We start from the raw sequence: 16,520 nt of genomic DNA on the forward strand, positions 1-16,520 counted from the left end.
GACTACAGATGCATATCACCACAACCAGCTAATTTTTTTTTTTTTTTTGAGACGGAGTCTCGCTCTGTCACCTAGGCTGGAGTGCAGTGGTGCAATCTCCACTCACTGCAAGCTCCGCCTCCTGGGTTCACACCATTCTTCTGCTTCAGCCTCCCGAGTAGCTGGGACTACAGGTGCCCGCCACTACGCCCGGCTAATTTTTGTATTTTTAGTAGAGACGGGGTTTCACTGTGTTAGCCAGGATGGTCTCGATCTCCCAACCTCGTGATCCACCCGCCTCAGCCTCCCAAAGTGCTGGGATTACAGGCATAAGCCATCGCGCCCGGCCAACCAGCTAATTTTTAAATTTTTTTTTGTAGAGACTGTCTTACTATTTGAGTAAGACTGGTCTCAAATTCCTGGCCTCAAGCGATCCTCCCACCTCAGCCTCCCAAAGCACTAGGATTACAGGTGTGAATCACCATGCCCAGCCTAGATATGCTTAAATACATAAATAATTACTATTGTGTTATAATTGCCTACAGTATTCAATATAGTCATACACTATCCAGGTTTGCAGCCTAGGAGAAATAGGCTATATCATGCAGCCTAGGTATGTAGTAGGCTATACCATCTAAATTTGTATAAAGACGCTCTCTCATGTTCACGACAACAAAACTGCCTAATGACACATTTCTCAGAATGTATCCTTGTTAAGTGACACATGACCACAAAAAAATCAAATCTTTCTAAACAGATGAACTAGGTCAGTGGTTCTCAATCCTGGGCTAATCATCATACTCAATAGGGGAACTTCAAAAAAAAACAACTAAAAAATACAAAAAATTAGCCGGGCGTGGTGGTGGGCGCCTGTAGTCCCAGCTACTGGGGAGGCTGAGGCAAAAGAATGGCGTGAACCCAGGAGGCGGAGCTTGCAGTGAGCCAAGATCGCACCACTGCACTCCAGCCTGGGCGACAGAGCGAGACTCTGACTTAAAAAAAAAAAAAAAAAAAAAAAATTCCCAGGTTCCTGTTTCCCCCACAACCAAAAGACTGATTTACTGTGTCCAGGATAAGATCCAGAATTTTTTTCTTTTTTTCTGAGATGGAGTCTCACTCTGTCGCCCAGGCTGGAGTGCAGTGGTGCAATCTGGGCTCACTACAAACTCCGCCTCCCGGGTTCATGCCATTCTCCTGCCTCAGCCTCCCGAGTAGCTGGGACCACAGGCGCACACTGCCACACCCAGCTAATTTTTTGTATTTTTAGTAGAGACGGGGTTTCACCGTGTTAGCCAGGATGGTCTCGATCTCCTGACCTCGTGATCCACCCACCTCGGCCTCCCAAAGTGCTGGGATTACAGGCGTGAGCCACCGTGCCCGGCCGAAATTTTTTCTTTTTAAAAAGTTCTAGGCCAGGTGCGGTGGCTCATGCCTGTAATCCCAGCACTTTGGGAGGCCAAGGTGGGCAGATCACCTGACATTGGGAGTTTGAGACCAGCCTGACCAACATGGAGAAACCTATCTCCACTAAAAATACAAAATTAGCAGGGCATGATGCCGCATGCCTGTAATCCCAACTACTTGGGAGGCTGAGGCAGGAGAATTGCTTGAAGCCGGGAGGCGGAGGTTACAGTGAGCCAAGATCGTGCCATTGCACTCCAGCCTGGGCAACAAGAGCGAAAATCCGTCTCAAAAAAAAAAAAAAAAAGTTCTTAGGTGATTCTAATAAGCTGGTATGGGAATCACTACATTAGGGCGTACTTACTCACTTCATTAGAAGTTGCATCACAGGATTCCTTTAAACAACTAGATCCTCTGCCCCATGCATTTAATATAGGATTTTTAGAATCTGGATTATCAAAATTAATCAATATACCATTTACCAAGAACGTCTTCTACATTAAGCAAAGTCCTTTAGGAGGGGCCGCATTTAAGAAGATTATAGGCAGATAACAACTGTCCACTAAGGAGCCCAGTTACCTCATATTTTCTATAGTTCACCAGCAAAGCCAAGAGGACGACAGCATCATACCCATGCTCCCTACGACTTGGGGGATGGGAAAGTATCTGTAACAAGAACCAAAAATGCATGAGACTGCTAACTCCTGGTTCCTGAGAACACAGAGAAAATTTGAAGAGGTGGTTTACCCCAAAGAGAGGAGGTAACAAGGGACCTACCTGTAAAATTGCTTCAAATATGCTGTTGATCATTACATACTCGAGAATAGTGTTCTGGCTGATGTTATCTGTCACCTGAATGTAATAAAAGGCTTTTTAAAGTCTGTTCTGAGGTATTCTGATATCTTGTGTAATCTCCTCCCCTAACATCTAAGAGAAACAAAAATATTAAAATATTTCTACTAGATAACTTAGCTGACCTTTCACAAGTGCCCCTTAAGTCATGAGAGTCTGAATAGACAACATAAGGGTAGGAAATCAGCAAGTTAAAACTTCCTAAGTCTTTGAACTCCTCATTGTTTCTCTCATATCCTCACACATGCATTCGCTTAACAGTTTCTTGGGTTTCATTCCTCAAGTGCACAGGAGGAGGTTTATGAATGCAGAAGTCTTCAAGAGGTGGCAGGGAAAGGGACCCTCCTAAAGTAAATAATCAACACCCCACCCTCCTTCCACTAGAAATACAGGCAGCCTACAGTTATAAAATCAAAACTACCTGAGCGCAGTGGCTCACGCCTGGAATCCCAGCACTTAGGGAGGCTGAAGTGGGTGGATCACAAGGTCAGGAGTTCAAGACCAACCTGGCCAACATGGTGAAACCCCATCTCTACTAAAAATACAAAAATTAGCCAGGCGTGGTTGTACATGCCTGTAATCCCAGCTACTCGGGAGGCTGAGGCAGGAGAACTGTTCAAACCCGGGAGATGGTGGTTGCAGTGAGCCAGGATCATGCCATTGCACTCTCCAGCCTAGGCGACAGAGCAAGACTCCACCTTGAAAAATAAATAAATAAAAGCCAAAACAAATAAAAATACTCAGAATCCTCCGGGCGCGGTGGCTCACACCTGTAATCCCAGCACTTTGGGAGGCCAAGGCAGGTGGATCACCTAAGGTCAAGAGTTCAAGCGGGTGGATCACCTAAGGTCAGGAGTTCAAGATCAGGCTGGCCAACATGGCGAAACCCCATCTCTACTAAAAGTACAAAAAAAAAAAAATTATCTGGGCATGGTGGCACATGCCTGTAATCCCAGCTACTTGGGAGGCTGAGGCAGGAGAATTGTTTGAACCCAGGAGGCAGACGTTGAAGTGAGCCGAGATCACGCCATTGCACTCCAGCCTGGGCGACGGAGCAAGACTCTGTCTCAAAAAAAAAAAAAAAAATTACTCAGAATCACAAAAACTATTTCCAAATGAGACCTGATAAGGACAAGTCTGACAACCCAGAAGACACTTGTTCTCCTGAAGTGAAACTTCTAAAGTAAAATATCACATAGCCTGCAGGCCAAAAATGCCAGTAATTGCTCCAAAGAGGAAGCAAAAGACCATGCAGCTAACTTCCTATACATCCAGACACGAGGGAGTGATGTAATACCCTCATTGAGAATATTTCTTCTCTTTTTCCTTCTATCTTTGGGCTCAAGTATTCAAACAGGATTGCCCCTCCTGTCAATTAATACCCTTGACAAACATAGGTCACTTACGGTCACTAAGCAAAGGAGAAGTTTCAGACATAAACTCTTCAGACTTTCAGAACCTTCTGCACAAAGCAATGAATCCAAACTCTCCATCAAGTTCTGAGAAAGAGAACCAATAAGCATTAAACCATACCAGATAACACCCCACCTTTGTCTAACTCTGGGTTATGTTATACAGGGTAATGTGAATAACACACAATAAAGCAACAACATCATTTCCTTAGGCCCAGAACTTACAAGATTAAATAAAGAAAAGGAGGACCTTTTTCTCAGGCTGGGGTTGCTAAGAAAGAAAAATAGGAAGACTTCAAAATCTAGCTATATTGAGAAAAATGCTTTAGAACAGTTGCACAAGAGAGTAAAGAATTCACTGTTCTACCAAATTAATGAATGTTTGCAGTCTGTCATCCCCATATAAACGTTTAGATTACAAGGAAGCAAATAAAAAAAGGGAAACCTAATGGTTAAATAATTGTATATGTTTCTTTTCTTTTCTTTTCTTTTCTTTTCTTTTTGAGACAGAGTCTCACTCTGTCTGTCAGTCAGGCTGGAAAGCAGGGCATGTTCATAGCACACTGCAACCTCAAACTGCTGGGATCAAGTCATCCTCCCACCTCAGCCTCCTGAATAGCTAGGACCACAGATGTGTGCCACCACACCCAGGTTTTTTTTTCTTTTTCTTTATAGAGACAAGGTCTCGCCATGTTGCCCAGGGTGGTCTCGAACTCCTGGGCTCAAGTGATCCTCAGCCTCCCAAAGAGTTGGCACTGCAGGTGTGAACCACTATGCCTGGCAAGTTTCGTTATTTGGTAAAGAAAGCATAACACTTGATTCAGGCACACTGAATAAATGAAAAAGAAACAGTATCATTACAGGCTATCACTAGCCATATAAACTATCCAACGAAGCTAACTTGCGTCCATCCTGGTCTCCGCTTGGCAATGTAATTGGAATTTATCACTGCACTAAAAGCCAGCTGACAAATCCAAACTAATCAAAAGATGAAACCCTTGTATACTACAATAAAGAGAAGATGAAAAGAAATATTCTACATTAAATGAGGAAGGAGAATAGATGGAGAATAAGGATTTAAGCATGCTGGAAGGCCAAGGTAAGCTGCTTCAGTTCAATTCAATAAATATGTGAGCATCTACTCTGTGCTGAATATTGTGCTTTAAAAGAATATACGAAAAAACTCAGACCATGACCCTTGCTCTCAAGGTGCTTTTAGTCTTATGGGAGAGAAAAACAAGCCAACAGTTTCAATTCAGTGGTTACTATGATGGAAATATACACAGAGGAATGGAATTTGCTCTAAAGTCACCTATTCCAAGACCCCTCAGGAGTGAGTTATATTTTGAAAATTCAATAGGAATTGGGGAGGAAAGGAATTCCAGACAGGTATTAGCATCATCAAAGACACATAAGGAAAGAAATGGCCCTGGTGTGGGGTTGGAATAAAAGTAGTTTGTTTTTAAGGGAGTATAAAGAATGAGGCACAGTGGTGAGATATAAGCCTGGGGAAGTAAATATGGTGCAGATTTTGAAAGTTTTATAAGTCTAACTAGGGAGTTTGGTCTTTATCCTGTTAGTGACAGGAGACTAATGAAGGATTTTAAGCAGGAAAGATGTACACACTAGCGTAAGATATATACACTAATGCCACACAGTTGTGGTGTCAGTGTGGATGATGGATTTAAAGATGGTAAGCTTGTAAGCATGGAGACTAATGAGGACTTCAATTTCCTGAGACAGTTGCCATGTCTTATTTGCCTCTTGTATCCTCAGTGCCTACCACAGTACCTGGCATATAGGGGCCCAACAAATATTTGTCAAAAGAATGAATGGGCTGGGTGCAGTGGCTCATGCCTGTAATCCCAGCACTTTGGGAGGCCAAGGCAGGCAGATCACCTGAGGTTAGGAGTTCGAGACCAGCCTGGCCAACAGGGTGAAACCCTGTCTCTACTACAAATACAAAAATTAGCTGAGTGTGGTGGCGCATGCCTGTAATCCCAGCTACTCAGGTGGCTGAGGCAGGAGAATCGCTTGAACCCAGGACAGGGAGGTTGCAGTGAGCCGAGATTGCACCACTGGACTCCAGCCTAGGTGACAGAGTGAGATTCCGTCTCAAAAAAAAAAAAAAAAAAAGAATGAATGAAGGCATCACTGTAATAGTTCTGGTGAGAGATAGCATAATAGAGATGGTGGTAACAGAAGAAGACAAGTATGAGGAATATGAACTGAGGTAAAATTAGCTGAACTTGGTGATCATCTGGAGATAAAAGATGAGAAGTCCCCTCATCACAGCGTGGGGCCTGTGAAGACAGCTGCTCCCATTCTGAAAGAGAATGAATGAGGAAGAAGAGATGCAGGAGAAACAGTGAGCTCCATTCTGGATATATCAAGCAAGAAGTACTTATGGGATGTGTCAGTGAGTACACTCAGCAAGTACTTGCAGAGGATACAACTCTGAGATCATGAAGAGACATTAAGGCTAAAGACAGACACTTAGCAGTCATCAACATACAAGCAGTAGTTAGAATTATGAGAATGAGGAGCTATCTGGGATTTTACCATGACATATATATGAACTGCAAAAGGCCAGAATTTAAAAATAACTCTAAGTATTAAATATTTGTATATTTATAATTATATATTAATAACTTTTTTTGTAACCTAATCATTATAAAGATTCTCTGGTATACAGATTTATTTTAAATTTAATGAGTGACAGAAGACTGTTCTTCAAAGTTCAAATAACATTCATTCAATATGGTGTCCAACACTGCAAATCATATATCTGATAAGGGACATATTCAGAATACGAAAAGAACTCTTATAACTCAACAAAAAAAGACACCCCCATCTAGAAATGGACAAAGGATATGAAAGACTTTTCTCCAAAAAAAAAAAATAAAGAAAAGACAGACAAAAACAACTGTTGACATAATGTGCAGAAACTTGAACCCTCATACATTGCTAGTGAAATTATAAAATGGAACAGCCCCTATGGAAAAATGGTTTGGTAGTTCCTAAAATGTCAAATATAGAGTTACCATGTGACCCAGCAATTCTACACCTAGGTATATGCCCAAGAGAATTTAAAACATATGTGTGGCCTGAGTGCAGTGGGTCATGCTTATAATCTCAGCACTTTGGAAGGCTGAGGCAGGAGGATCACCTGAGGCCAGGAGTTCAAGACCAGCTGGGTCAACATAGCAAGACCTCATCTCATGAATAAATAAATAAATAAATACGAGCATACATCCATACAGAAACTTATACATGAACATTCATAGCAGCATTATTCCTAATAGCCAAAATGTTGAAAGGACCCAAATACCTATCAACTGAGGAATGGCTAAACAAAATATAGTGAGTATCTCCAGCCAAAGGAATATTATTAGGCAATAAAAAGGAATGAAATACTAATACATCCTATAATATGGAGGAACCACAAAAACATTATGTGAAGTAACTGCCAGACTCAAAAGGCTACATATGATATGATTCCATTTATATGAGGTGTCCAGAACAGCTAAACCCATAGAGACATAAAGCAGATTAATGCTTGCCAAGGGTTGAGAAGAGTGGAGAATTGGGGAATGACTGCTAATGGGTACAGGTTTTCTTTCTAGGGTGATGAAAATGTTCTGAAATTAATAGTGATGATAATTGTATAATTCTATGAATATACTAAAATCCACTGGATTGTACACTTTATTTATTTTCTTCTTTTTGAGACAGGGTCTTGCTCTGTTGCCCAGCCTGGAGTGCAGTGGCATGATCTTGGCTCACTGCAACCTCCACCTCCCAGGTTCAAGCAGTCCTACCACTTCAGCCTCCCCCAACTAGCTGGGACTTACAGGCACGTGCCACCATACGCAGATAATTTTTGTATTTTTTGTGGAGACGAGGTTTTGCCATGTTGCCCACGCTGGTCTCAAACTCCTTAGCTCAAGCAATCCGCCTGCCTTGGCCTCCCAAAGCGCTAGGATTACAGGCATGAGCCATGGCGCCTGGTCAGATTGTACAATCTAAAAGGGTGGATTTATGCTATATGAATTATAAGGCTGTTATTTTAAAAAGATAGTGTCAAACAGCAGAAAGAAAAATTCTGATAAAATCAAAGTAATTGTGTTAAATAAGCTTAAAGTTTAGAATTAAAGTTACCCTTGTATGTTGTTATATTTTATTTAAATTCATAAATGTTCTTAAGAATGTATGATCATATGATACGAGTAATAAAATAAACTATTCTGTCTTTATCCCGCAGGGAAAGAATACCTCCATTCAAATTTGAATTTAAAATTTTCCTTTATTCAGATAAAGCAAATCTGTGAAATAAAAACATCTAAATGCAAGGCCAAATTCAATCATCTGTATCTTTCTGAGTCCAAATCTTTGAGTACATTTGTCTGCTGATAGTGTCCAGGAACAGCTGTCAGAAGCTGCCATCCACAGGCACATCTGCAGCTTATGCCTCACCTTCATGCACAGCTCCGCCTTGTCAAAGCCCATCAGCATGTTGATAATGTCAAACCCAGAGGTAGACTTATTCTTTTGATGGACTCCTCGAATGAGTGCGCACAGGGTCTGCAGAAATGAGAGAAAGAATTCTTTCTGGAGAGGAAGTCTCAGGGTCTGTAGACCCACATTGCAGCCTCATCCTTACACAGCTGACACTGAATAAATTCAATTTCTCTGAGTTCTGAGCTCCAAAACACAGTCTGAGTTTTTTTGGTTTTTTCCGTTTGGTTCGGTTTTTTTGTTTGTTTGTTTTTTTTTTTGAGACAAGGTCTCGCTCTTCACCAAGACTGTAGTGCAGTGGCATAATCACAGCTCACTACAGCCTTGACCTCCTGGGCTCAGGTGATCCTCCCACCTCAGCCTTCCAAGTAGCTGAGATGACAGGTGTGCTCCACCACACCTGGTTAATTTTTTTATTTTTTGTAGAGACAGGGTCTCACCATGTTGCCCAGACTGGTCTCCAACACCTGGGCTCCAGTGATCCTCCTGCCTCAGCCTCCCAAAGTTCTGGAATTAGAAATGTGAGCCACTGTGCCCAGCCCAGTCTGAGTCTCAGTATGTGCAAAATCCAGCAAATAAAAGAGGAACAGTAACTGAGACTGCTGTCATCCTCATTTTTTATTTTCTTGTCATCTTGTTTTTAAAAATTATAAAGCAGACTGGGAGGTGATATTCAAAGATTAAAAATAGTTCTTGAGTTCAATCATGGGATTGGTGGAGTTTTCCTTTATTTAAAATTAATTTTGGGGCCGGACGCAGTGGCTCAAGCCTGTAATCCCAACACTTTGGGAGGCTGAGGCAAGTGGATCACCTGAGGTCAGGAGTTCGAGACCAGCTTGGCCAACATGGTGAAACCCAGTCTCTATTAAAAATACAAAAAATTAGCCAAGTGTGGAGGCAGATGCCTGTAATCCCAGCTATTCAGCAGGCTGAGGCAGGAGAATCCTTGAACCCAGGAGACGGATGTTGCAGTGAGCCGAGATCGCTCCATTGCACTCCAGCCTGGGCAACAAGAGTGAAACTCCGTCTCAAAAATAATAATAATAATAATAATTTTGGCATTTATATTACAGTTTAACAGTTTTTTTTGTTTTGTTTTGTCTTGTTTTTGTTTTTGTTTGAGACGGAGTCTCACTCTGTCACCCAGGCTGGAGTGCAGTGGCGTGAGTGATCCCGCCTCACTGCAACCTCCACCTCCTGGGTTCAAGTGATTCCCATGCTTCGGTCTTCCTAGTAGCTGGAGTTACAGGTGTGCACCACCACGCCTGGCTAATTTTTGTAGTTTTTTAATAGAGACAGGTTTTCATCATGTTGGCCAGGCTGGTATCGAACTCCTGCCAGTGATCTGCCCCCCTCAGCCTCCCAAAGTGTTGGGATTACAGGCGTGAGCCACCACGCCTGGCCAACAGTTTTTATAATTATTTTTAATAACTATAACAGTTAAGTCCCTTATATAATAGCCAACTGCTTCAAATCTTAAAATCTTCATAATCCTCATCCACTACTTACTAGCTGTGAGAACCCAGACACACACATTAGTTAACTTTCCAGTGGCTCAGTTTTCTCATCTATAAAGTAGGAATGATAATAATAGCATCCATCTTGTAGGAACATTATGAGGGCTATGTGAAATAATACTGTAAAGTACTTAGTCCCTGGAACTCTGTTAGAGCTCAGTAAGTATAAGCTATTATAACAATGTACAATATTTTATGGGTCACTAAGTGGCTTAATGTCAACTTATTTCCACTGAAATAAAACAGTCTACAATTCATGCCCACACAATGAGCACTGCAATTACTGGAAGTACAATTTCCAACTTTCATTGAGCCCCTATGCTACAACTTAAAAGGTGGAACTTATTGTGCCAAAAGTTAACAAAGCTATAGAATAAACATGGTCCATCTTTCTGGGACATCAACTCAAGAGGTAATTATTATTGCCATTCTACAGATGAGAAAACTGGGGCTCACAAAGTGATCTGCCTAACTAGTATGTTAGAAACTTAAACCCAATCTATCACAAGTTCCAATAAAATTATGTATCCTATCATGGATTCTTCATATTCTTTTTTTTTTGAGACGGAGTCTCGCTCTGTCGCCCAGGCTGGAGTGCAGTGGCACCATGTCAGCTCACTGCAAGCTCCGTCTCCCAGTTCACACCATTCTCTCACCTCAGCCTCCCAAGTAGCTGGGATTACAGGCATGCGCCACCACGCCCGGCTAATTTTTTGTATTTTTAGTAGAGATGGGGTTTCCCCCTGTTAGCCAGGATGGTCTCGATCTCCTGATCTCGTGATCCTCCCGCCTTGGCCTCCCAAAGTGCTCGGATTACAGGCATGAGCCACCGCGCCCAGCCCAGGATTCTTCATATTCTAAACCTATCAATCACTGCCCTAAGTACTCTCAATCTAGACTATACTAAACTTACTAGACTAAATTTTAGAAACTTTGTCACCATTCATTCAATAAGAACTTACTTCTAGAGTACTATTTGCTATGCACTGCTCTCTGGGCACAAGGAGTATTCTACTCACTGGAAACAAACTACTGAATGAAACTCTCAAAGTCTCTTCCCTCAAGAACTCTGTAGTATATCTCTATCATCCAGCCCAATGCCTGGCACATAACAATTCAAGGAATAGTTGTTGAATGAATTTTATGATCATGCCACCTAACATAAAGAACAGTTTCTTAATGTTTTCTGAATTACAGATTCCTTTCAAAATCTTTGGTTTTTGAGATGGAGTCTCGCTCTGTTGCCCAGGCTGGGGTGCAGTGGTGCAATCTCGGCTCACTGCAACCTCCGCCTCCCGAGTTCAAGCAATTCTCCTGCCTCAACCTCCTGAGTAGATGGGATTACAGGTGCCCACCACCATGCCCGGCTAATTTTTGTATTTTTAGTAGAGGTGGGTTTCACCATGTTGGTCAGGCTGGTCTCGAACTCCTGACCTCAAGTGATCTGCCCACCTCAGCCTCCCAAAGTGCTAGGATTACAGGCGTGAACCACCGTGCCCAGCAGTCTTCTGATTTTTGATAAAGACTAATCATTCTTGCCTCAGTTTCCTCTCTACTTCTTCCCTTTCTCAAGCAAAAACAAGAATTCTGTCTAAGAATCTACTTTAGCATTAGATCAAATTATACAAATGGATACGATTACTCCTAAGTGTCAATTTGTATAAATAGAAAGATGGCTAAACAAACGTGGCATAAATATTTGGTAACTTACAGAAATAAAAAAGAAAACCTCATACCTCAGAGCAACTCTAGGTTCCTCAGTTCAAACAGATGTGTTACAATTCCTTTCTCCTGTTAAACAAGACTTCCCCAGTCTCCCAGCCTTGTACCTGCAATGCATTGACAACCCGAATTGGATGCTCCTCTCCCAGAGCCTGGATGCAGTGTTGGAATAAGCAATTAATATTGTCCTTGATCTTCATTAACTCCTCACCATCAAGAGATTCCAGCTTGCCTTCTAGGTACTCTAAATTCACCTGCCAAGGAAACAAATAAGGGGCAGAGTGCATTTTTAGCTTAGCGCCTAGAATATATGAGAAGGCAATTTTAGTTACCAGGAAATTCCACAGATGCCACCAACTCTTACCTTCATGAGAAAGAGCTCCTCCCAAAACCGAGGACTGCACTTACTGGGGTCCTCTGTCTGAAACCAGAATATAAGCACATTCAGCCTTCCCAGCTAACACCAAAAGCATTAAGAATACTATACATAGTCAACCTTAGTTTTCTTTTTTTTTTTTTGAGATGGAATCTCGCTGTCGCCCAGGCTGGAGTACAGTGGCGTGATCTCGGCTCACTGCAGGCTCCGCCCCCCAGGGTTCACGCCATTCCCCCGCCTCAGCCTCCTGAGTAGCTGGGACTACAGGCGCCCACCACCTCGCCCGGCTAATTTTTTGTATTTTCAGTAGAGACAGGGTTTCACCATGTTAGCCAGGATGGTCTTGATCTCCTGACCTCATGATCCGCCCGCCTCAGACTCCCAAAGTGCTGGGATTACAGGCGTGAGCCACCGCACCCGGCCCCTTAGTTTTCAAAATTAACTTTGAAAATTCTTGGTCATTCTAAACTGCTAGAAGGGGAAAAAGAACACTTATCTCTTTGTGTTTTTTTTCCCAAGTGGAAAACTGTGTGCATGGATATATATTCTCTGCACCAAAAGTTAAATAATAGCTCAAAGAACTTCCCTAAAATATTTATCTTCTAGCAAGAAATGAACATAAACATCAGAATAAGTTAGTCACATCACAACATGCCTCCCGTGCATTGGTACAGTGTTGTTTTCAAACCTATTCACATATGTGAAATACAATCCAGTGAGCCAGGAAGGACAGATATTATCACCGTCCTCCCATTTTAGGAAAGAGAGTACACAAGTTAAGTGACTTACACAAGTTCAGGAGCCAGAATTCAGATCACCTCAGTAATACCACAGTGGTTTTTACAGCATGCTGTGTTGACTGCTTCTACTTGCCCTCCATATGCATTTAGTATTCTGTACAGAGCTTTTAATGTGCTCTAAATTTCTTAATTTAAATTGGTCCAAAGAGTAAGCAAAATTATCATGCTAAAATCCAAAATTTCCTAGCAATAATGTTCAAACAAATTCTAGGAAGTCAGAAGCTGCTGGTTAATGGGTAAAACAAGAAAAAGAGAACCCCGGCCAGGCACGGTGGCCCATGCCTGTAATCCTAGCACTTTGGGAGGCTGAGGTGGGCAGATCACGAGGTCAGGAGATCGAGACCATCCTGGCTAACACGGTGACACCCCATCTCTACTAAAAATACAAAAAATTAGCCGGGCGTGGTGGTGGGCACCTGTAGTCCCAGCTACTAGGGAGGCTGAGGCAGGAGAATGGCGTGAACCTGGGAGGCGGAGCTTGCAGTGAGCCGAGATCACACTGCTGCACTCCAGCCTGGGCCACAGAGCGAGACTCCATCTCAAAAAAAAAAAAGAAAAAAAAGAGAAGCCCTACTTTAAAGAAAGGGGAATGGCATAAAATAAGTAGGTCAATAGCCCACTACCACCTTATTTTAAGCTGACCTTTTAAAACTACTACCAGGAGACAGCCAGGTGCAGTGGCCCATGCCTGTAATCCCAGCTACTCGGGAGGCTGAGGCAGGAGAATCGCTTGAACCCAGGAGGCAGAGGTCACGGAGAGCTGAGATCATGCCATTGCACTCCACCCTGGGCAACAAGAGCAAAACTCCATCTCAAAAACAAAAATAAATAAATAAAAAATAAAAATAAATAAGTAAATAGGCCAGGCACAGTGGCTCACACCTGTAACGTCAGCATTTTGTAGGGCTGAGGCGGGTGGATCACCTGAGGTCAAGAGTTTGAGACCAGCCTGGCGAACACGGTGAAACCCCATCTCTACTGAAAATACAAAAATAGCTGGGCACAGTGGCTCACACCTGTAATCCCAGCACTTTGGCAGGCTGAGTCCGAGGCGCCCGGATCACGAGGTCAGGAGATGGAGGCCATCCTGGCTAACACAGTGAAATAAAAAATACAAAAAATTAGCCAGGTGTGGTGCAAGGAGCCTGTAGTCCCAGCTACTCAGGAGGCTGAGGCAGGAGAATGGCTTGAACCCGGGAGGTGGAGGTTGCAGTGAGCCACGATTGTGCCACTACACTCCGGCCTGGGCAACAGAGCGAGACTCAGTCTCAAAAAAGAAAACAAGCTCTCCCTTCTCCCTTCTCCCTCTCCCCACGGTCTCCCTCTCCCTCTCTTTCCACAGTCTCCCTCTGATGCCGAGCCGAAGCTGGACTGTACTGCTGCCATCTCGGCTCACTGCAACCTCCCTGCCTGATTCTCCTGCCTCAGCCTGCGGAGTGCCTGCGATTGCAGGCGCGCGCTGCCACGCCTGACTGGTTTTCGTATTTTTTTGGTGGAGACGGGGTTTCGCTGTGTTGGCCGGGCTGGTCTCCAGCTCCTAACCGCGAGTGATCCGCCAGCCTCGGCCTCCCGAGGTGCCGGGATTGCAGACGGAGTCTCGTTCACTCAGCGCTCAATGTTGCCCAGGCTGGAGTGCAGTGGTGTGATCTCGGCTCGCTACATCCTCCACCTCCCAGCCGCCTGCCTTGGCCTCCCAAAGTGCCGAGATTGCAGCCTCTGCCCGGCCGCCACCCCGACTGGGAAGTGAGGAGCGTCTCCGCATGGCCGCCCATCCTCTGGGATGTGAGGAGCCCCTCTGCCCAGCTGCCCAGTCTGGGAAGTGAGGAGCGCCTCTTCCCAGCGGCCATCCCGTCTAGGAAGTGAGGAGCGTCTCTGCCCAGCCGCCCATCGTCTGAGATGTGGGGAGCACCTCTGCCCGGCCGCGACCCCGACTGGGAGGTGGGGAGCGTCTCCGCCCGGCCGCCCCGTCTGGGAAGTGAGGAGCACCTCCGCCCGGCAGCCACCCCGTCTGGGAGGGAGGTGGGGGGCAGCCCCCGCCCGGCCAGCCGCCCCATCCGGGAGGGAGGTGGGGGGTCAGCCCCCGCCCGGCCAGCCGCCCCGTCCGGGAGGGAAGTGGGGGGTCAGCCCCCGCCCGGCCAGCCGCCCCGTCCGGGAGGGAGATGGGGGGGCACATCCGCCCGGCCGCCGCCCCGTCCAGGAGGTGGGGGGCGCCTCTGCCCGGCCGCCCCTTCTGGGAAGTGAGGAGCCCCTCTGCCCGGCCACCACCCCGTCTGGGAGGTGTACCCAACAGCTCATTAAGAACGGGCCATGATGACGATGGCGGTTTTGTGGAATAGAAAAGGGGGAAAGGTGGGGAAAAGCTAGAGAAATCAGATTGTTGCTGTGTCTGTGTAGAAAGTAGAAGACATGGGAGACTTCATTTTGTTCTGTACTGGGAGGGGTTCTTCTGCCTTGGGATGCTGTTGATCTGTGACCTTGCCCCCAGCCCTGTGCTCTCTGGGGCATGTGCTGTGTCCACTCAGGGTTAAATGGATTAAGGGCGGTGCAAGATGTGCTTTGTTAAACAGATGCTTGAAGGCAGCAGGCTCGTTAAGAGTCATCACCACTCCCTAATCTCAAGTACCCAGGGACACAAACACTGCGGCTGCAGGGTCCTCTGCCTAGGAAAACCAGAGACCTTTGTTCACTTGTTTATCTGCTGACCTTCCCTCCACTATTGTCCTATGACCCTGCCAAATCCCCCTCTCCGAGAAACACCCAAGAATGATCAATAAAAAAAAAAAAAAAAGAAAGAAAACAAAACAAAAATTAGCCAGGCATGGTGGCATGCGCCTATAATCCCAGCTACTTGGGAGGCTGAGGCAGGAGAATTGCTTGAACCCAGGAGGTGGAGGCTGTAGTGAGCCGAGATCACGCCACTGCACTCCAGCTTGGGCGACAGAGCAAGACACCACCTCAAAATAAATAAATAAATAAATAATTGATTAATTAAAATAAAACAGCATAAAATTACTACCAGTAACTAATGTCATCACTAGTTAAGTCCTGATCTAATAAAATATTAATAATCTCTTCTGGATTTTGTTTTCTTTTTTTTTTTTTTTTGAGATGGATTCTTGCTCTGTCACCCAGGCTGTAGTGCAATGGCAAGATCTCAGCTCACTGCAACCTCTGCCTCCCGGGTTCAAGCGATTCTCCTGCCTTGGACTCACATAAATAGCTGGGATTATAAGCATGCACCACCACGCCCAGTTAATTTTTGCATTTTTAGTAGACATGGGGTTTTACTACCTTGGTCAGGCTGGTCTCAAACATCTGACCTCATGTGATCTGCCCCCCTTGGCCTCACAAACTGCTGGGATTACAGGCGTGAGCCACCACACCTAGCCTCTTCTGGATTTTTAATGGAGAATGGCATAAAGAAGCAACATCTCTGGCCTTCTCACAACGTCCTCATTTTTAAATTAATTATTTATTTTATTTATTTACTTATTTTAGAGACAAGTTCTCACTCTGTCACCCAGGCTGGATGCAATGGTGCAATTATAGCTAGCTGCTGCCTTGAACTCCTAGGCTCAAGGGATCCTCCCACCTCAGCCTCCTATAGTAGCTAGGAGTAGCTGGTACTACCTGGGACTACAGATACATACCACTACACCCACTTAATTTTGTTATTAGAGAGGGGAGTCTCGATATGTTGCCCGAGATGGTCTCAAACTTCTGGCCGCAAGCAATCCATGCACCTCAGCCTCCCAGGGTAGCTGGGATTACAGGTGTGAGCTACCACACCCAGCCACTTAATGGATTCTATCTATCACTTTCTCTCAAGTCCTGCTCCCAAGCAGAGGTCACAGTTTGACCCTCACACTTCTGTAATATCACTGTATTGTCTACAAATGAAACGGAGGGAATTCATGGAACTGGCACTTCCCATCCCCAAAGC

General features: G+C 44.6%; 1 protein-coding gene across 19 annotated transcripts in view, besides 1 other annotated feature; it reads right to left on the reverse strand.

Moving 5' to 3' along the window:
- The window catches only part of ARMH3 (armadillo like helical domain containing 3), a 210,575-nt gene that overhangs the window by 175,919 nt on the left and 18,136 nt on the right, over positions 1–16,520 (reverse strand). For all 19 annotated transcript variants that reach the window (XR_001747199.2, XR_007061987.1, XR_007061988.1 and 16 more), the window contains 6 exons: positions 11,766–11,822; positions 11,509–11,655; positions 8,121–8,228; positions 3,639–3,731; positions 2,158–2,232; positions 1,960–2,046 (listed from right to left, as the gene is read on the reverse strand). Coding sequence is in view for 16 of the 19 variants with exons in the window: in XM_011540154.3 (XP_011538456.1) it covers positions 1,960–2,046; positions 2,158–2,232; positions 3,639–3,731; positions 8,121–8,228; positions 11,509–11,655; positions 11,766–11,822 (567 nt within the window). In the remaining 3 variants the exon portion in view is untranslated. The remainder of the gene's footprint in view (positions 1–1,959; positions 2,047–2,157; positions 2,233–3,638; positions 3,732–8,120; positions 8,229–11,508; positions 11,656–11,765; positions 11,823–16,520) is intronic.
- Positions 13,814–14,621: an enhancer, noted in NCBI's record as "H3K27ac-H3K4me1 hESC enhancer chr10:103795088-103795895 (GRCh37/hg19 assembly coordinates)". NCBI's record gives its function as "activates a minimal SCP1, AML or CMV promoter by ChIP-STARR-seq in naive H9 embryonic stem cells {active_cell/tissue: H9 hESC(naive)}" and the evidence as "EXISTENCE:reporter gene assay evidence [ECO:0000049][PMID:30033119]".

This window comes from Homo sapiens, chromosome 10 (assembly GCF_000001405.40).
Source record: "Homo sapiens chromosome 10, GRCh38.p14 Primary Assembly".
NCBI lineage: Eukaryota > Metazoa > Chordata > Mammalia > Primates > Hominidae > Homo > Homo sapiens.